This window comes from Homo sapiens, chromosome 6, assembly GCF_000001405.40.
Source record: "Homo sapiens chromosome 6, GRCh38.p14 Primary Assembly".
Classification (NCBI taxonomy): domain Eukaryota; kingdom Metazoa; phylum Chordata; class Mammalia; order Primates; family Hominidae; genus Homo; species Homo sapiens.
Window position 1 is genome coordinate 166,334,656 of NC_000006.12, and position 21,053 is coordinate 166,355,708.

Consider the following 21,053-nt stretch of genomic DNA (forward strand, 5'->3'; position numbering starts at 1 on the left):
TTTGAAACAACTGATGAGAACCTGAGAAGCCAATCTGAGCGATGGGGAACGCTCGTGGACTGTGTAGTCATGAGATCCAAGCACCAAGCACTCTGGGGCTTTGGGTTTGTCCTGTATGCCGCTGTGAAGGAGGTGGATGCGCCATGAATGCAAAGCCACACAAGGTGGATGAAGAGTTGTGGAACCAAAGGGCTGTCTCGAGAAGATTCTCAAAGACGAGGTGCCCAACTGTGAAAAAGATATTTGCTGGCGGCATTAAAGAAGACATTGAAGAACATCGCCTAAGAGATCTTGAACAGTATGGAAAAACTGAAGTGACTGAAATCATGACTGACAGAGGTAGTGCCAAGAAAAGGGGCTATGCCTTCGTGCCTCTGACAACCACGACGCTGTGGACAAGACTGTCACTCAGAAATACCATACTGTGAATGGCCAAAACTGTGAAGTTAGGGAAGTCCTGTGAAAGCAAGAGATGGCTAGTGCTTTATCCAGCCAAAGAGGTCGAAGTGCTTCTGGAAACTTTGGTGGTGGTTGTGGAGGTGGTTTTGGTGGGAATGACAACTTCGGTCATGGAGGAAATTTCAGTGGTCATGATGGCTTTGGTGGCAGCTGTCCACAGCGGTGGCGGTGGATACAGTGGCAGCAGGGATGGCTGTAATGGATTTGGTAATGATGGAATCAATTCTGGAGGTGGCAGAAGCTCCAATGATTTTGGCAATTACAACAATCAGCCTTCAAATTTTGGACCCATAAAGGGAGGAAACTTTGGAGGCAGAAGCTCTGGCCCTTATGGTGGTGGAGAACAATACTTTGCCAAATTTTACTTTACTTTACAAAACCAAGGTGGCTACGGTGGTTCCAGTAGCAACAGTAGCCATGGCACTGGCAGAAGATTTTAACCCATTTATGCCTGAGGTTGCACTTTTTGAATTTGAAAAATCAGACCTTGGCGATGACCTTGAACAGGAGAACATAAATAACTCCCACATGCTTAGCGTTCCAATAATGGAATACCAGGCATAAATGGGTTCACAAAACCAAGGTGGCTATGGTGGTTCTAGTAGCAGCAGTAGCCATGGCACTGGCAGAAGATTTTAATCACTGCCAGGAAACAAAGTTTAGCCGGAAAGGAGAGCCAGAGAAGCGATAGGGAAGCTACAGGTTACAAGAGATTTGTGAACTCAGTCAGCCAAGCACAGTGGTGGCAGAGCCCAGCTGCTACAAAGAAGATATGTTTTAGACAATACTCACGTGTATGAGCAAAAAACTCCAGGACTGTATTTGTGACTAATTTTATTAACAGGTTATTTTCGTTTCTGTTCTGTGGAAAGTACCAAGCATTCCAACAAAGGGTTTTAATGTAATTTTTTTCTTTTGCACTCATGCTGTTGATTGCTAAATGTAATAGTCTGATCATGAGACTGAATAAATGTGTCCTTTTAAAAAACGTGCTGTGTAAAGTTAGTCTCCTCGGAAGCCATCTTGGTAAACTCCCCCAAGAGTGTGAAGTCAGAATTCCTTCAGGGTGATGCCAGGTTCTACTTGGAACTTATTTACACTCTGCTCGGGTGGAGAAGCCACTGTCTTCAGTGAGCTCGGTGTAGCTGAACTGACAGTTACTGTTGTGACCTGAAGTTCACCACCAAAGGGGATCACCCAAGCAAAGTCACAGAATTATTAGTTATAAAAATGATTGTTGGCACATCCCATGCAATATATCTAAACTGAATAATGGTACCAGATAACATTATAGATGGGAATGAAGCTTGTGTATCATCCATAATTGTATGTAGCTAATAAACTATTTAATTCTCTTAAAAAAACACTGTAGACTGGGTAGCTTATAAACAACAGACACTTATTTCTCTCAGTTCTAGAGACTGGAAGTCCATGATCAAGGCGCCAGCAGATTCGGCGTCTGGTGAGGCATCTCTGGTTCACAGATGACACCTTCTGAGTCCTCACACGATGGAAAGGGCAATGGATCCTTCTTTTCCTCAACTTCCCAGGCTCAAGCAATCCTCCCACCGCAGCCTCCCATGTAGCTGGGACCACAGGCACACACCATCACGCTCAACTAATTTTTTAATTTTTTGTAGAAGCGGGGTCTCGCCATGTTGCCCAGACTGGTCTTGAACTCCTGGGCCCAAGCAATCCTCCTGCCTCAGGCTTCCAAAGTGCTGGGATTATAGGCATGAGCCACTGCATGTGGCCTGGGGCCTCTTTTTTAATAGGGCATGAAACCCATTCCTAATCACATCCCAAAGGCACCTCCTCCTCATACCATCACATTGGGGATTAAGTTTCAACATAGGAATTCTGGGGGGGACACAGACATTCAGACCACAGCACTGTGAGTGATTTTGGGGCTGGCCACAGGCAATTACACAGGCTCTAGCAGGCAGGCCTCCCGGGGAAAGCTCCCTCTGCACACCAGACTTGGAGCACAGCCCAGGCAGTGTAGCCCCTGGGGAGGTGCAGTCAAGGTCCCAGGCCCTTCGGCCCACCACACTTTTTCATGTAGTTCCCTTCCTAGCCCAGTGCCTTATTTCCCAGGAATCCTTATCTGAGGCTGTAGGAGTAGACGGGACCCCCAGCTGGCACACGCCTGGCACAGTGGTTGGGAAGCTCACCTTGACCATTCTAGCTTCAGCCCTCCCCTGGCTGAAACCCTGCAGACACAAGTCACTTCCGTGTCCTTAATTCCAAGGAACATTTTTGAAGCATCAGTATCCTTTCCAACTCAACAGCACAGGACACTTTGGCACTCCCTCCTGCTTACAATGTTCTCTTCAACTCCCATGTCCCACCGGCTCTCCTGACTGTCCTCCCGCCTCGCCAGCTGCTCCTGCTTGGGGTCTCCTCTGCCGCCTTAGCTCCTTCTACCTGGAAAGACAGCTTCCTCCTTGTGTTTCTCTACACTCCCCCTAACCACCTCACCCACACCTACCATGGGAACAGTGAGGGAAATAGATAAGGTAGGTATACTTACAATCTTCTAAGTGGGAAAGGCAGAGAGAGCTTAAATTGTTTATTAGGCATTTTTCTCTTATTACCATCTTCCACGCGGTGATCTTTGAAGTGAAACATGATAAATTAATGCCATTTGTAAATATGAAATAACTCAGTCAACAAGCAAATGACTTGTCTCAACCTGTGTGCTATGGTCTGAGTGTTTGCTGAAATCCTCGACCCCATGGTGATGGTACTGGAAGATGGCCCTTCAGGAGATGATCAGGTCATGGGGATGGAGTCCTCATGAATGGGATCCACGCCCTAATAAGACGAGAAAGAGACTAAAGCTCTCTGCTCTCTGCCATGTCAAGATATAACCAGAGGCAACAGTGTGACACCAGGAAGGGGGAGGCCTCACCAAGAACCCATGAGTGCACCTTGATCTCTGACTTCCGGCCTCAAAACCCGTAAGAAATAAATTTCTGTTGTTTATAAATCACAAAGTCTAAGGTATTTTATTACAGCAGGCTGAATGGACTAAGACATCTCGCAAATTGTCAGCAGGGGTTAGTAGGACTCCCACAAGAGAACTCTGTAGAATGTTCCGGCATTATGTTCTTGTCATCTAACTCCCAACAATTACCTTATGCCAATGCCCTCAGCTCTCCTTGGTAGTTACCCAAATCCAAACAACTCACTCATCTGTTTGTTCAACAAGTAGTTATGAACAGCTATTAGACACCAGGTACTTGGTAGGTTCTACATACACAGAAAGGAATAAGACAGCACCTAGCGTACTTACATTCAGATGGGGGAAAATGGGCAATAAACTAATGAGGCAGGTTCTACTAAGGACATAAATAGGGGCAGAGTAACTGGGTCAGGAAGAGCCTCTCTAAAGAGGTGACCAAGTGAAGACATCAGGAAGTGACCAATCCAACTCTGAAAAGAGCCAGGAAGGGGCATTCCTGAAAAAAGAAATGCAACTGCCAGGTCTCCCAGGCAGAAGAAAATGGCTCCAACTGAGGAGGAGAAAGAGGGCAGGGCAAGGCAAGCACTGGGGAGAGGGTGGGGAGGCGGGCCGACAAGCAGTGCAGGGCTGAGAGGCCAAGGGAGGGATCTGGATTTTACTCAAGTGCTGCAGGAAGTCAATGAAGGATGTGATCAGGGGAGGAATATGATCAACTCTCTTAAGATCTGGCTCAATATCTCTCCCTCCTTGACTTCTTCCCAGGCATCTCGAAGGAGAGGTCCCAGAACTCTGGCTACCGTGCCTCTCCCCGGGGCTCAAAGCGCCTGCATAGGAGGATGATGCAGCCTGGATGTCAGGATGCTCCCCTATGACCTTCACTGCCTCGCCCAACTCCTCAACTGGCCTAGAACCATCCCTGTCAAGACCCAATTCCAATGTGCCCGCCATCCTGGTTACGTCTTGCTGCACAAGACGTGCAACACTCTCAGGTCATCCCTCACCCCATTCAGGTCTGTGCGCCTTTAATCCCATCTCATCTCCTACCCATCTCCAAAAACCAACAGCAAACCTCCCTATGTCCTCACCCTCTTCTCTGATGATCCTCTCACCTTCCGGCTAGGTTTGAAATTTAGTCTCCAGGACCAGGGCTCTCCCCTGTGAATCCTGTACCACTTGGACAGGCAGTGAGCTAGGTGTCTGCCCTCCTCACTGCCACTTCCTGCCCCTTCCTCCTCCCTAGAGAAACCTGCTTTCCAAGTCACTCCTCAATAGCCCCCTAGCAACAATTCCCTCTTGCCTGCACCATAATTTTCCCCTTTCCTGGACCATTCCCAATGCACAGAAACATCCAGTATTTTCCTTGGGAAAATGACATGTTCCCCGACCCCACTGCATCCTTCAACTACCACCCACTTCTTTGCTCCACAGGAAAAATCACTGAGATGGCCATACCATCTCCATCTTCTTTCTATTCTCCCCTGACTTCAATCAGGCCTCTGACCCCATCCAGCCACCAAGACTGCTCTCGTGGAAGTGACAACTGATAACCTCCACGGGTAATCTGCTCTTAACTTCTGAGACCCATCAACAGTACTGGGTCCCATCCCCTTCCTAAAGCACTCTCTTCCCTCACTTTCTGGGGCATCCTTCTCTCTTGGTTCTCCTCCTCCTTCTCTCGCCACGCCTCTCAGCTGTCTTTGCCGGCTTCTGCTCATCCTCTAAACTTCTACACACCTAGAGAAAACCAGAGGTCAAACCTTGGACCTCATCTTGACGATCTCATCTCTCTCCTATTTCCTCCCACAAACTCTACAGTGTTACGTCCAACTGCTTTCCTCACATCTCCACTTGGATGCTACCTGGATCTCAGACTTCACGTCCACACTGAAATGATTTTCCTCCCTGAACCTGCTCCTCCCACAGTCACTTAATGGCAACTCCACCTCTCCAGATGCTCAGGTCGAATGCCATGAGGCATCCTTGCCTCCTCCCACTCTCACACATCCAATCCGTCAACAGTGTGGCCTGCTGGCTGTACACTCAGACCATTTACAGAATCTGACCACTTTTTTGTTTTTTAAACAGGCTTTTTTGCTCTTTAAACCACTTCTATCACTGATTTGAGCCACAGTCATCTCTTGCCAGGACAACTGTACTTGTCTCCAGCCCAGTCTCTGGGCTTCTAACATTGCCTCTACAGTTTGTTCTCCACAGAGCTGCCAGAGTGATCCTTTAAAATCCAAGTCGGTCACACCACCACTCTGCTCTAAACCCAAAGGCTTCCTATCACACTCAGAGTAAAGCTAAAATCCTTTCTATGGCCTATGAGAACCCTCACAATTGAGAATCCCCCTTCCTGCTTCACCTTTTCTTCTACAATTGTCCCTCTTCTCTGCCCCGCTGCTAGAGCCCCTCTGGCCTCCTTACTGGCCCTGAACATGCTGACCACACACCACTTGGGACTCTGTATCTGCCTTGGAGGCTTTTATTCACAGGATGCTCAGACATCCCAGCAGCTCTTCTGAGCTGTGCTCACATGACTCCCTGGCAGGGAGGCCTTATCTAAGTAATATGGCAACCCCAACCTCCTCAACCTGCTCTGACTTTTTCTGTGGCTGTCTGACACATTATATACTTGTTTATTCACTGTTTCCTCCAATTAAAATTTAAGTTCCATGTGAAAGAGGTATTTGCACTGGTCACTGTTATTAACACCTGCATCTTGAACAATGTCAAACATATGCAGGAACTTGAATATTTGTTAATGAACGATCACCTCCTCTGAACTCACAGCACTTGTCTATACAGCCAGTCACTCTAATCTTTGATTGATTACTTCTCCACATATCTTTCTCCCCTCTAGACAGTGGGCTCAAGATAAGTGATATTACCTTTGCATCTCCAAAGTTTAGAGTAGCACTGTCCAATAGAACTTTCTGCAATGCAAATGTTCTGTATCTGCGCTGTTTAATACAGTAGCCTTTAACCACATGTGCCTACTGAACATGTGAAATGTGGTTGCTGTGACTAAGGAACTGAATGTTAAATTTTATTTAATTTTAATTAATTTAAATTTAATTGCTCCAGGCGCAGTGGCTCAAGCCTGTCATCCAAGCACTTTGGGAGGTCAAGGTGGGCGGATCACTTGAGGTCAGGAGTTCGAGACCAGCCTGACCAACATGGTGAAACCCCCATCTCTACTAAAAACACAAAATAATTAGCAGGGCATGGTGGCAGGTGCCTGTAATCCCAGCTACTCAGGAGGCTGAGGCAGGAGAATTGCTTGAACCCGGGAGGCAGAGGTTGCAGCGAGTCGAGATCACGCCACTGCACTCCAGGCCTGAGCGACAAAGCAAGACTCCATCTAAAAAAAAAAAAAAAAAAAATTCATTGGCCACATGTGGCTGTGGTAATATACAGAGTTACAGAGTGCAATGAGAACAGATACTTGTCTTACACTCTCTGAACCCAAAACTGTAGCCCAGAACTCTACCCACACCAAGTGCTGAGTAAGTATAATGACAAGGAAGTCAGGAGAGACAAATAGAAGATCCTTATGAAATACAATTCAATTTTAAACGTCCAACTTCTGCGACAGCACACAATAACGTGCAATATAATCGCATGCAATAACAAAAAAACTTACACCGCAGTTCCTGCTCCACTGCTACTTTTAACCTTCTTGCTGGAGGAAGTAACCCTTATCAAGTCTCGCTGGTAAGGCGCAGACACAAGGGCTTTTATTAAGAAAAAAAAAAAAATCTCTTACCAGGGCTCACTGCCTTAACAGAAAAATTTTAATTCAATATTATTTCACTTACCAATGTCCTGTTTATTTTTCCTCCAGTCTCCCTATTTCCAAAAGACCACCCCCCAGCAAACACACACATAACACCACCTTTACCTCCAAAGACAAACAGATGCAACAAGCTTTAGGGTCTCGGCTCACTGCAGCTTGCAGGATAAATGCCCTGCATAGCTACTTACGCTGCACAGCCCGAGGCCAGACCCCGCACCAGGCTCAGAAAACCAAATAGTACGTGGGAGCGATGGATTATTTGGGAAAGCGAGGGCAGACGTTAGCGGATTCCTAAGTCAGAAGGCCAGATGGGAGAGTCGGGGGGGGGCCTCAAAGTGGGTTTAAGTAGACCGCATGGAAAACTGGAAAGTTCTCAAATTCTACCCAGGAAGCAGGCGGAGCCCTCCTAAATCAACCAGCCGGGCAGAGGAGTCCCAGACCCCCGGCCTCGCACCCACCCCACCCGCTCGGCCGGTCCTCAGTGCGGCCGGGGCCAGCGGGCAGCCCCGGGACTGGACGAGGGCGCAAGTTCGCTACCTGCGCAGTCAGGCCCTGCTCCTCGTCGTCCTGGCCGCTCAGGACTCGCCGCAGCTTCTCCATGGCCCTGTTACAGGGCCGTAGCGGCCGCCACTCTGTTGCCTGCCCCTGACGCCCACCAGGAAACCCCGAACCCGAAACCCCACAGACCAGCCGGAAGTCCGGTCCCGCCCGCTTCCTGTGCGTCAGCGCGGCCGCCGTAGCAATGCGCGCATGCTCACCAGCCTTTCTCTCGGACCCGGTAGTGGTCCGTGAAGTCCGCGGAGTGGGCGCTGATGGTGGGGCTATCCCTTCCCACTGTCCGCGAGGTGCGCCGTGGTAACGCGCGGGGACACAGCGCGGGTGTGGACCCCCTGCCCACAGCTGGCGCACAGCCATTGAGTGTAGACCCGACTGGGGCACGACCACTGAACCCTGCACTTGGCGTCCTCCGGGCCCCGCGAGGGGCCTTGCTGGGCGGGTCCGCGGCACCCCGGGTTCCCAGAAGTCGAGGCCCCGAATGCGCCTCCCCTCGCCTGGAATCGGAGAGCGGAGGGCTCCTGCGGGCAGGTGGCCGTGCTCCGAAGAGCGCCCTGCCACCCATGAGGTGGCCCTGGGGGCGTCGCTAGCCTTCCCAGCTGGGTGTCCTCATCCGGAGACACAAACACCTGCCTCAGGATTAAAGCGAGGAGCTGTATTTCAGACCGTCTCAGGAGAAATAGCAAGAGGCTGCCTCACTCCTTTGCCCTTGTGAGAGCTATTTCTTTACTCAGTTCACTGGTCAGCTAGGAGTTTGAAAGAGTGAAATCTTATTTATAAAAGGAATAGCTAATGCAACCCATTTTTCCAGTTTTGTGTGAACAGTGAAACCATTGAACAAGCGTTTACTGTTCTCCGGCTCGTGCTGGATGAACAAACACTAAGAAATGGGGAAGTGGCATTTTTCTCTCTCTCATTTTCCACCATGCTAAGAAAGGAGATTAAAAATCAGGGCTGCCTGTCTAATATGGTCTCCAGAAGTCATTAAGTGATAGGTTTTGCTCTTCTGTTTGCTTCTAGGCTTGGTAAGATGGTAATGAGAATGCCTGTTCTTTTGATTACTTTGCCCACTCCATTTCCTCCCTAAAATCTTTCAGTTAAAAGGTGGATCCTCAAAAAGTTTCATTGTCCATCCTACTGCCTCAGTAGAGATTTTATCTAAACTCAATTAGATAAAAACAAATACCACAGGAACCCTAGGAAAGCAAGTCGCGCCTTCTTGTGATGAAACGGTCCAATGCTCAGCATCCTTTTCCTTTAGGCAGAAGATATTTCTATGTGGCCTGTTCATACTAATATGAGAAGTCTTATCCTTATGTCCTTAACTTTAAAAGGTCAGAAAATAGATTGTAAAATCTATAGAATAAAACTATGTTTCTGTTGAATAAGAGAGTATGTCCGTAAGTGTTACGGGAAAGGGGTCCGGATCCATACCCCAAAAGAGGGTTCTTGGATCTTGCGCAAAAAGAATTCAGGGCAAGTGAAAACAAGTTTATTTAAAAAGTAGAGGAACATCGGTAGTCTGAGGCAGAGAATTGCTTGAACCCGGGAGGCGGAGCTTGCAGTGAGCCGAGATCGCGCCCCTGCACTCCAGCCTGGGCGACAGAGCGAGACTCCGTCTCAAAAAAAAAAAAAAAAAGTAGAAGGACAAAAGAATAGCTACTCCATAGGCAGAGCAGGGCTGTCTATTACCAGGGCTGCTGGTTGCCCATTTTTATGGTTATTTCTTGATGATATGCTAAACAAGGGGTGGATTCATGCCTCCCCTTTTTAGACCATATAGGCTAACTTCGTGATATTGCCATGGCATTTGTAAACTGCCATGGCGCTAGTGGGAGTGTAGCAATGAGAACGACCAGAGGTCTCTCTTGTTACCTTGGTTTTGGTGGGATTTGGCCGGTTTCTTTACTGCAGTCTGTTTCATCAGCAAGGTCTTTATGATCTGTATCTTGTGCTGACCTTCTATCTTATCCTGTGTCTTAGAATGACTTAACTGTCTGGGAATGCAGCTCAGTGGGTCTCAACCTCATTTTACCCAGCCGCTATTCAAGATGGGCTTCTCTGGTTCACATATCTGACATAACTGCTTTCAAGATTTTCAAGTATAGGCCGAGCGCGGTGGCTCACTCCTGTAATCCCAGCACTTTGGGAGGCAAAGGCGGGTGGGTCACAAGGTCAGGAGTTTGAGACCAGCCTGGACAATATGGTGAAACCCCGTCTCTACCAAAAATACAAAAATTAGTTGGGCATGGTGGCGGGCGCCTGTAGTCCCAACTACTTGGGAAGCTGAGACAGGAGAATCGCTTGAACCCAGGAGGTGGAGGTTGCAGTGAGCTGAGGTCGCTCGTTTGCACTCCATCCTGGGCAACAGAGTGAGACTCTGTCTCAAAAAACAAACAAAAAAACCTTACTTCCTAGCTCTTCCTGCTTCCTGGCCACATAGTTTTTTCAAGAGCCAATGACTCCTGAACACAAGGACATGCACAAAATTGTTGGGGTGATCAGACCCAACACCAGGTTGTGGGAGTGACAAAGTCCAGCAGAGTCAAAAGATTGAGAAAAAAGTTTGAGAGAGAAATGTGGGACAACAGGGGCCATTGCTATTGCGGAGGCTGTGAAGGCCCCGAGCTCTGGGAGCCCACAGTGTTTATTGGTAATCCAACTAAGAAACAGGTGGTGAGAATGTGGAGGTCATGTTGCATTAAGCACATGATTTACAGCTGTGACAGTTTAGCATTTATATGGAACATGTTCTGCTACTTGAGATAATGGGAATAGGTGCCTAGGAGCCTAGGAAGGCTAGAAGCAAGGAGCCAGCAAGTCTAGACACATTCCAGAGGACATTATGCAAGCCCTGCCTCAGTTTCCCCCCAACACTCAGCTTTTTCCCAGCATGCCCCCCTTCTCTTTATTGTAAAAGAGAAGATATCATTATTACTAGCTATCATTATTACTAGCATGGCTCTGGTTTGAATGCTTCCCACATATCTCCCCTTTCCCTTTTACAAGAAGACCCTTAATCCTAGGGGTTGCAGAAGGATGAAGGTCCATCTTCTGTAACTTCTTCATGCTGAATAGGGGTGACGATATTCCTGTCTAACTGTTAGGGTCTCTCATATTCAGGGTAGAGAGGAGCTGAGTCAGAAAGCATTGGCCCGTTAAGCATCGTGACTCCGGTCGGTCCTCATTCCTTCTTCGCATTCAGATTCAACTGGCTCATGGCTCACACTGGGGGAACCCGGTCCAAGGTTGGGATCCATGGGTACCTCCAGTCTCCCATTCCATGGTCGTACACATCTTGAGGGTATCCACACGGTTTGTTCATCTCCTGCAAAAACACAAGCATACCCTCACCCCCACGTTAGTAAATCTACTGAAACAGAAGCAAAAACTTTTGTGGCTGTAGCCGGGAGGCCACTGATAATGAGAAACAGGCCTTTTCTGATTAACAGAAGGCATAGAGAAAGCAAATCGAGGCTTTTCAAACCTTCAATTCGCACTGTACTCTACATGTGGGTCCACTAGATGCCGTGGCTCGTGATAGATCTTCAGATGGTTGGTGGGCACCCACACAGACACCTGAGTGTCACCTGGAGAGACACAAGCAAATCCTCTTCCCCACAAAATTATCTTTAGGCAGGGATCAGAGGACGTAGATTCAGAGGTAAAGAGAATTTGGGGGGCCTAATGGCTTCCTCATGTTTGATAGGTGTTCCCTCGGAAGTTAGGAATTCCCTTTCTCTCCATATTGCTGCGTGGGCTTGGAGGACTAGGTAAGCATGCTTAGAGTCTGTATATTTAACCTTTTTCCTTCTAATTCTAGTGTATAATGGCCCCTGCTTTTGCTAGAATGTCTCTCCCTAACAAAGGAGTGGGGCTTTCGGGCGTAATTAGAAAGGCATGTGAAAAGAGTAAATTTCCCCAGTCACAACTTAGTGGCTGGGAGAAGTATCAAGTGACTGCCTGTCCTAGGACCCCTCAGATAGTGACAGATCTGGAGGACAATTGTCCAGGACAGGAGAGTAAGACTGAGAAGACCGCACCAGTGTCCAGGAAACAGTTAACCTCCTGGCCCTCAATGGTCAAGCATACCTGGGGCTCTGTGTGGGTGATGGCATGGGCTGGTGCTTGCCCTGGTACCCTCAGTCCTGCTGCTGGATCATCTGGTTAGTGGCTTCTGACTCAGAGGACCTTTGTCCCCCAGGGCAGTGGGACTTCAAATTCAAATTCTGAGGCGTTTGTTGTTAGGAGTAGAAAAGTACTTTCCGAAACACATACCTTCTCCTTATTGGAATATCCCCTTTATCTACTAAAATGTACAGAAAACTCTAGGGCAAAAACTTCCCAAATGTTTGTAAATCTCAACTCCTCAGATGTAGTGTCTGGGCTAGGTAAGGCAGGGGCATAGACTGGAAAAAGTATAAAGCTTCCATTTTTTGTTTGCAACCAATTCTTCTGCAGTGATTAACAAATGGCCTTGATGCAAATAAAGAAAATCTACCCCTTAACTGCCCTCTGCCTCCATGAACATGCCTAGATGGAAATGTGGGTAGTGAGAGGGGACTCTTGATGTCACAGAAGGGTGCTTGGGACAAGGGTTTGTTAATTCATTGCCATTTGCTCAGCTCCTAACCAGCTATGAAACTGCAAGAAAGTCACTTGCAAGAAAGTCCTTGGATCTTTGGTTCCTTATTTTATTTTTAAAAAAGAAGAAGAGGGAAAGATGAGATTATCTCTAGTGAACTTCTGGAATTACCACCCTTTGCCCATTGGTTGATGCAAAGAGAGAGAGAGAGAGAGTGTGTGTGTGTGTGTGTGTGTGTGTGTGAGAGAGAGAGAGGGAGAGAGAGAGAAAATGGAAAAGAAGTGGTGCCTGAACTGAAGGAGCTGATCCTATGGGGAGAAGCCCATCCCACCATCCCACAGGACTGGCATAAACACTGAAGGTCATCTCTGGTTGAAAGCCAACAGCCTCCCTCCTAAGTGTCTACACTGAGTGCTTAACACAGAATGACAATTCTATTTTGGGCTCCCCCATCCCAGTTGGTTATAAATATTAATTTATTGGGGGAGTATGGAAAAGCATTGTTCTAAGAGCCATAACTATATCAAAAGCTACACCCAGAGGTATCAGTTTCCCCTTGTCTCCTCTCATTCTCTCCTCTCATTCTTTCCACCCCATTCCCACCCATCCCCTATAGGTAAATGATCTCATTAATTACTGGTTTCTACTTCCTCTGTTTCTTTTGCACAAGAGACCTGATACATGCATACTTTCCTACATCTCCCTTCTTTCTTACGTGAAGGATAATATATTACATTCTTTTCATTTTGCTTTTTTCATTTAACAGTATACCCTGGAAATCAGCTCATATCAGTTTTCAGAGATTTTTTCCCCTTTTTTGGCACAGCTGCACAATACTGCATTGTTCTATAGTTTTCTCAATGACTACTTAGATTGTTTCTAATATTTTTCAGTAAGAAACAATATTGCAATAAATAATATAATGCACATATATATGTATATGAGAGGTCTTCAAAATGTTAATGGGAAATGTGTATTATGAAAAAACTATGCATGAATTTTAAACTTTTTGCACCAAAATAAACCTGTACTAACTTGTTATAACATGTCTGAACAGGTTCAAGTTTGAGGCATTAAGAAGGATAAGACATCAATTTGAAAAGAGCCCCTGTCAGAGCAACATGACTTGAAAGCAAGAAGAAAAAACAAAAAATGAAGCAAGAACAAACATCAAATTTATGCTGAGTTTGGCTGCAAGAATGGTGAAATCATTGATACTTTACAAGACACTAATCAGGACAGTGCCCCAAAGGAATCAGCAGTTTACAAATGGATATAACCTGTTTTCAGAAGAGACAAGATTAATTTGAAGATGAAGCAGTGGCGGACCATCCATGTCAATTTATGAGAAAAAAATTCATTCTGTTCATGCCCTAACTGAAGAGGACTGACAACAGCACAAACAATAGCCAACATCATAGACATCTCAACTGGTTCAGCTTACTCAATTCTGACTGAAAGTTAAAGTTGAGCAAACTTTCCACTCAATGAGTGTCGAAACCCTCATGCCCAGATCAGCTGCAGACAAGAGCAGAGGTTTCAATGGAAATTTTAAACAAGTGAGATTAAGATCCTGAAGCATTTCTTGAAAGAATTGTAACAGGAGATAAACCATGGCTTCACCAGTACAATACTGAAGACTAAGCACAATCAAAGCAATGGCTACCAAGAGGCCGAAGTGGTCCCATTAAGGCGAAAGTGGACCAGTCAAGAGCAAAGGTCATGGCAACAGTGTTTTGGGATGCCAAGACATTTTGCTCGTTGACTTTCTGGAGGGCCAAAGTGCAGTAATGTCTGTTTATTATGTTTTGAGAAAGTTGGCCAAACCTTTAGTAGAAAAATGCCCAGGAGAACTTCACTAGAGTGACCTTCGTTCAATTTCAGATCACCACAATAAAGCAAAAAATTGCAATTATAAATTTTTTGGTTTCCCAGTACATGTAAAAGTTATAATTACACTATACTATAGTCTATTAAGGGTGCAATAGCATTATGTCTGAAAAAAACAATGGTCATGCCTTAATTTAAAAATACTTTATTACTAAAAAATGCTAGCAATCATCTGAACCTTCAGTGAGTCATAATATTTTTGCTAGTGGAGGGCCTTGCCTGGATGTTGATGGCTGCTGACTGATCAGGATGGTGGTTGCTGAAGGTTAGGGTGGCTGCAGCAATTTCTTAACATAAGACAACAGTGAAGTTTCCTGCATTGATTGACTCTTCCTTTCATGAAATATTTCTCTATAGCATGTAATGCTGTTTGATAGCATTTTACCCACAGTAGAATTTATTTCAGAATTGAAGTCAGTCCTCTTAAACCCTGTCACTTCTTTATTAACTAAGTTCACGCAATATTCTAAATCCTTTGTTGTCATTTCAACAATGTTCACAACATCTTCACCAGGGATAGATTCTGTCTCAAGAAACCACTTTCTTTGTTCATTCGTAAGAAGCAACCCCTCATCTGTTCAAGTTTTCTCATGAGATTGGAGCAATTCAGTCACATTTTCAGGCTGCATTTTTAATTCTAGTTCTCTTGCTATTTCTACCACATCTGCAGTTACTTCCTTCACTGAAGGCTTGAACCCCTCAAAGTCACCCATGAGGGTTGGAATCAACTTCTTCCAAATTCCTGTTAATGTTGATGTTTTGACCTCCTCTCATGAATGATGAATGTTTTTAATGACATCTAAAATGGTCAGTCCTTTCCAGAAGGTTTTCAATTTACTTTGCCCCAATCCATCAGAGGAATCACTGTCTATGGCAACTGTAGGCTTATAAAAGGTATTTCTTAAATAATATGTCTTGAAAGTCTAAATGACTCCTTGATCCATAAGCTGCAGAATGGGTGTTGTGTTAGCAAGCATGAAAACAACATTCATCTTGTGCCTCTCCATCTGAGCTCTTCTATGACCAGGTGCCTTGTTGATGAGCAGTAATATTTTGAAAGAAATCTTTTTTCCTGAGCAGTGGGTCTCAACAATGGGCTTAAAATGTTCATTAAGCCATGCTGTAAACAGATGTGCTATCATCCAGGCTTTGATGTTCCTTATACAGAGTACAGGCACAGGCAGAGTAGATTTAGTATAATTCTTAAGGGCCCTTGGATTTTCAGAATGGTAAGTGAACATTGGTGTGAACTTAAGGTCACCAGCTGCATTAGCCCCTAACAAGAGAGTCAGCCTGTCCTTTGAAGCTTTGAAGCTAGGCATTGACTTCTCTCTAGCTATGAAAGTCCTAGATGACATCTTCTGATTTAAGGCTGTTTTGTCTACATTGAAAGTCTATTATTTAGTGTAGCCACCTTCATCAATTATCTTAGTAAGGTCTTCTGGATAACTTGCTGCAGCTTCTACATCAGCATTTACTGCTTCACCTCGCACTTTTATGTTATGGAGATGGCTTCATTCCTTAAACCTCATGAACCAACGAGCTTCAAACCTTTCTTCTGCAGCTTCCTCACCTCCCTCAGGCTTCATAGAATTTAATAGAGTTAGGGCTTTGCTATGGATTAGGTTTTTGCTTATGGGAGGATTGTGGCTGGTTTAATCTTCTATCCAGACTACTACAACTTTCCCCATATCAAAAATAAGGCACTTTCATTTTTTGATCATTTGTTCACTGGAGTGACACTTACTTTTAATTTCCTGAAAATTTTCCTTTGCATTTACAATGTAGCTAACTATTCAGTGGAAGAGGGCTAGTTTTTGACATGCCTTCCTCAATATGCTTAATAATTTCTAGTTTTTGATTTAAAGTGAGACACATGTGACTCTTCCTTTCACTTGAATGCCGAGAGGCCATGCAGGGTTATTAATTAGCCTAATTTCAATATTGTTATTTAAGTTATGGGGAGGCTTGAGGAGAGGGAGAGAGAGACAGGAGAATGGCCGGTCAGTGGAGCAGTCAGAATACACACAACATATATTGATTAACTTTCCTATCTTATATGAGCACAGTTCTTGGCACTCCAAAACAATTACAGTACTAACATCAAAGATCACTGATCACAGATCACCATAACTGATATTATAATAATGGAAAGTCTTGAAATATTGTGAAAATTACCAAAATGTGACAGATACAACATGAACAAATGCTGTTGGAAGAATGGCACTGATAGATTTGCCCAATGCAGGGTTGCCACAAACTTTCAACTTGTAAAAAGAGCAGTATCTGTGAAAGACGGTAAAGCAGAAAGCAATAAAATGAAGTGTGCCCATGTATACTAATAAGACATAGTTCATTTTATTAATAAAGCACCTGTCAATTTCAGTTGAGTAATTTTTATCAGGAATGGGTTTTGAATTTTGTTCAAGGCTTTTACAGCATCTGTGGGATAACTATGTATTGTTTCCCTGGATCTATAAATACATACAGGATACTAATGACTTTTCAAATATTGAACCAACTTTGCATTCTTGGAATAAATCTCACTTGATCATGATAAATTATGTGGTGCTGAATTCCATTTGCTATTTTTTCCATCTTTTATTTTCAGTCTTCCTGGACATCATATCATTGAAGTTTTTTTTAGTATTCAATCTGAGGATCTTTATCTTTTGTTTTTGTAATTTTTTTGTCATTTATAATTATCACAATGACCATAAACAGGATTTATTTTTTGCTATTTATTTCATATCTTACTTTATGGAATTTTTGTTTTGTTTATTTAAAGTCTCTTTTCCTTCTTTCTTTTTGGTCATTTTGAGTATTCTGCCAGTTTAAAAGTTAAACATTACACTTTTGTTTTCATAGTGGTTACAGTTAATATGAAGCCTGTAATTATGTGTATTTACCCATAGTAATAAACTTAGCAATGTCTACAGTGCTTTCAAGTCAAGAATTTTTGCACATGATTATGTCCATTAATCTCCCTCTTCCCTCAGCCCCTGTGTCATGTTGATATTTTAATTCTGGGCTGTTATGAATACAGTCATTTTCCTTTTTTGATCTGTTAAATTAAAACTTGGCCTGAGGCTGCCATAGCTTAAATCCCTGAGTAGGGAAGTATAAACTGGTTTAGTAGGTAAACAAACTGAAAGCCTAATTAAGGAGTATTCTTCGTAACAAACAGCTGAGTGTCAGCCGATCTGAGCAGTGGCCTTCAGCCAATCACAGGCTTCCTGCTGATCAGTCCGCATCCAAATACAGCAAACACAAAGCTGAAATCATTCACACCCATTCTGCACCTCACTTCCCTTTTCTGTCTATAAACTCTCCCTGCCCACTCCGAGGAGGAGAGTTTTCTGAATTGCCACTGGTTTATTGCTGCTGATTCATGAATCGTCCTTCGCTCAATTAAATTGTTTAATTTGTCTAAAAACTTCTTCTTTTGACAGGTCCTATAATAAACTTTACCTAGGTATTCAGTTACCCTTAATTTTTATGTCTTTTGTATAAATATCCTGGATTTGCTGTTTTCTCATTTAAACCTTCCTTTAAGAGTGTTTTCAACATGTGGCAAAATTTTGGAAATATATGAATGAGAATATTGTTATTATACTTTCACATTTAATGACAATTTGATTGGATAAAACTTTTAGTATTCAAAGTTCTTTTCTTTTAATATTTTAAAAACATTCTACTGTTTTTCTCTTGTACCATTTTGCTATTGAGGAGTCCACAATCAGTCTTACTCTTATTCCTTTGTAGACAGGATGATGATATAACTTATCATTCAACTAGGACACTTTGGAGCGTGAAGGGGATACTAGTAATAATTACGCTTGTCAGTGGGTGTAACCCAGGACTGTCCTGTGTATGTTAAGACACATGGTCCACTTATTTATAGGTGTTCAGTCACCCTGTTTATAAGTGATTAGTTCTTTCTCTCTAGAAGCTTTTAGAATTTTATTCTTTGTGTTTGATATTTTTAGGTGTTGCTATAATACTTCTAGGTGTGGGCTTTTTGTTTTTTCTACTTGGCCTTCTGTGATACTGTGATTTATAATAGGAAACATATATTTGGTCTTTCTCCTTTTTCCTGGCATGTAACTCCAAAAACCCACAGAATCTCCAAAGTGATGCATCTATTTGTATGCCAGTGAGATGACTGTGGGCTGGGGGCTCCTGGATAGCCTCAGCATTAGAGGGGGTTGCCAGGGTAACCCCTGTGTGATTAGAGGGTTGGAACTTTCAGCTTTAGGCTACCCTCAGCCTTGGAGGGGAGAAGGGCTGGAGGTTGAGTCAATCACAATGGCCAGTGATTGAATCAATCATGTCTAGGTAATGAAACCTCCATACAAAAACAAAAAGGCTGGAATCAGAGAGCTTCTGGGTTGATCAACAAGAATATGTCAATGTACCAGGATAGTAGCACAGCCCAACTCCATGAAGACAAACTTTTCTGCTCGTGAATTTCCAAACCTCACCCTATGTATCCATTCATCTGGCTGTGCATTTGTATTCTTTAAAATATCCTTTGTAACAAACAGACACTGATAAATGTTAAACAGAGTTTATGGGAGGCCACTGTTTTGGACAGCCCTCCTGCACTAGGCCCCAGTAAAGCAGACCAAACCAGAATGGAGCCATTTGTGCTAAGTGCCTTGGAATCATATGGAACCTTTAAACTTCATCCTTTCTCTCCCTCCTTCTTTCCTTCCTTTCTTCCTTTCTCCCTTCTTCCTTCCTCCTTCCTTTCCTTCCATCCCTTCCATCTTTTTCTTCTTTTCTTCCTTCTTTCTTCCACACTTTCTTCCTCCCTCTCTCCCTATCCTCCTTTCTTCCTTCCTTCCTTTCTTCCTCTCTTTCTGCCTCCTGTCGTTTTCTTCCTTCCTTCTTTCCCCCCCTTCCTTCCATCTTTGTTCCAATAATTCCTGCTCTAATTTCAGTCTCAGGCTCTTTTGTTGATGTTGAACTTAGAGAATGTACTTATGAGCCTTTCCAGTTCATGTGAAACTTTTATTTATTACTGCAAATGTTAAATGCAATTCTATTCTATTCTTTCATATTAAGAGCTAAATGCTGTGTCTTCCAAAATGCACAACATGAGACTTTCCAGTTCATGTGAAACTTTTATTTATTACTGCAAATGTTAAATGCAATTCTATTCTATTCTTTCATATTAAGAGCTAAATGCTGTGTCTTCCAAAATTCATATTTTGAAAACTAATCTCCAATTCGATAGTATTAGGAGGTGGGGCTTCTGGGAGGTGATGAGCCCATAAGGGTAGAGCCCATGTGAATGGGATTAGTGCCCTTATAAAAGAGGCTCCGGAGAGCTCCCTTGACCCTTCCACCACGAAAAGACAGCCTTCTGCAAACCAGGAAGCAGCCCACACCAGACCCTAGATCTGCTGGCAGTCTTGGATTTCCCAGCCTCCAGAACTATGAGAAGTAGGTGTTTGCTGCCAAAGCCATTCAGTCTATGGCATTTGTTATGGCAGCCCAAATGGACTGGGACTTTCCACCTGCAGCACATTTTAAATATTTGCAGAGCCTTCGGCACTGACAAAAGTCTCTGGGCCTGCAAAGGCAGGAACCCCATCCCTCAGCCTTTTTGAGGGTAGTGCACTGTGCATTTCCACATGCCCATGTCCAGTACTGATTTCCCTCTGGGAACTGAGGACATGAAGACTGATAAGCCTTGTTACCTGTCTGAGGTTGGTTAGAGTTCTTAATTGCAAGTAACAGAATCTACTCTGACCAGTTTCAGCAGCAAAGAGATTCACTAAAGGATCGGAGGTTGCTTCCAAAGTCATGCTGCAGAGTGGGAATAAGTCTTGCTTCCAGGACCAATCCCACCTCCATGCTGTGGGACTGAACCTGCCCTCACTGCTGCTGTCCCCCAGTTAATGCCTGGACTTCTGCTGCTGGAAAGAACCACCGCTTCTCCATCACAGAAGCTGCAGGTAGACCGGCAAAAGGGATGTTCCACAGAGAGCCTGCTTCCTTGTGACACTTCCAAACTGAAGTCTCATTTGGGTGTGTCCTATTGGCCAAGTCCAAGCCAATGCCCTGCTTTCTAGCTGCAAGGGAAGTGTGTTGGGAGATAGGCTGATAAACAGGAAGTTCAGGAATGTCCTAAAGTAACATATAAAGGTTATTTAAATTATTATGGTCCATGATTATGACAAGTGTTCATTAAGGAGCTCCCAAAGAGCCTACCATCCAATGGAGGAGAGAGACAAGCATACATTTTCAGTGCGCCGGGGGCTGATGGGAGACGCACCTGCGCAGTTGTAGCTGGTCTCAGGCAGCTCATGCCAACATCAGAAAATATACACCTCTCTATGAGGTCTTGTGTAATTCTGTCTTCTAAATAGAAAGGAAGCCTTTTAAATTTTAAACAAAATTTGCAGAGTTTTCCCTCATATGTTCATACATTTTTCAGACTATTTTTAAAATGCTGTAAGCTTGCTTTGTTCAACTGAGAGTTGATCTTGTCGACTTAGAGAGATTTCATAGCATTTGTCTAGAAAAAGTAACTGCCTGATTCATTCCCCATCCCCCAATTGGCTAATGTGCCCTAATTGTTTTTAAGGAGTCACTTTTTGCTCTAAGTAGCAACTTACTTGAAATTTATGCTAATTTATAGTAAAAAATTATGACATTATAATTCTTGATTAGAAGTGCTTTTAGAAGAAAGTATAAATGTGGCTGACTTTAAATGAAGGAAAGCGTAAAAACTGGATCTGCTGAACAGTCCTTATTGCATCTGGATGGCTGTGTGTTCCCTATGG

General features: G+C 44.1%; 1 protein-coding gene, 1 long non-coding RNA gene and 1 pseudogene across 5 annotated transcripts in view, besides 3 other annotated features; 2 read left to right on the forward strand and 1 right to left on the reverse strand.

The window, feature by feature from the left end:
* The window catches only part of HNRNPA1P49 (heterogeneous nuclear ribonucleoprotein A1 pseudogene 49), a 904-nt pseudogene extending 88 nt beyond the window's left edge, over positions 1-816 (forward strand).
* Positions 1-7,890, reverse strand: part of SFT2D1 (SFT2 domain containing 1) — a 22,818-nt gene extending 14,928 nt beyond the window's left edge. For all 4 annotated transcript variants that reach the window (NR_130114.2, NR_130113.2, NR_130112.2 and 1 more), the window contains exon 1: positions 7,764-7,890. Coding sequence is in view for 1 of the 4 variants with exons in the window: in NM_145169.3 (NP_660152.1) it covers positions 7,764-7,826 (63 nt within the window). In the remaining 3 variants the exon portion in view is untranslated. The remainder of the gene's footprint in view (positions 1-7,763) is intronic.
* Positions 7,601-7,760: a silencer, noted in NCBI's record as "silent region_17775". NCBI's record gives its function as "represses an Ori minimal core promoter by ATAC-STARR-seq in GM12878 lymphoblastoid cells {active_cell/tissue: GM12878}" and the evidence as "EXISTENCE:reporter gene assay evidence [ECO:0000049][PMID:35858748]".
* Positions 7,822-8,715: an enhancer, noted in NCBI's record as "H3K27ac hESC enhancer chr6:166755965-166756858 (GRCh37/hg19 assembly coordinates)". NCBI's record gives its function as "activates a minimal SCP1, AML or CMV promoter by ChIP-STARR-seq in primed H9 embryonic stem cells {active_cell/tissue: H9 hESC(primed)}" and the evidence as "EXISTENCE:reporter gene assay evidence [ECO:0000049][PMID:30033119]".
* LOC100289495 (uncharacterized) lies at positions 7,976-16,814 on the forward strand. Its single transcript, NR_040022.1, has 2 exons — positions 7,976-8,492; positions 13,424-16,814. It is a non-coding gene; the product is annotated as an uncharacterized LOC100289495 (long non-coding RNA).
* Positions 12,858-14,057: an enhancer, noted in NCBI's record as "MED14-independent group 3 enhancer chr6:166761001-166762200 (GRCh37/hg19 assembly coordinates)". NCBI's record gives its function as "activates an origin of replication core promoter dependent on BRD2, BRD4, P300/CBP and CDK7 cofactors, and independent of MED14, by STARR-seq in HCT116 cells {active_cell/tissue: HCT116}" and the evidence as "EXISTENCE:reporter gene assay evidence [ECO:0000049][PMID:35650434]".
* Positions 16,815-21,053: the final 4,239 nt, after the last annotated feature.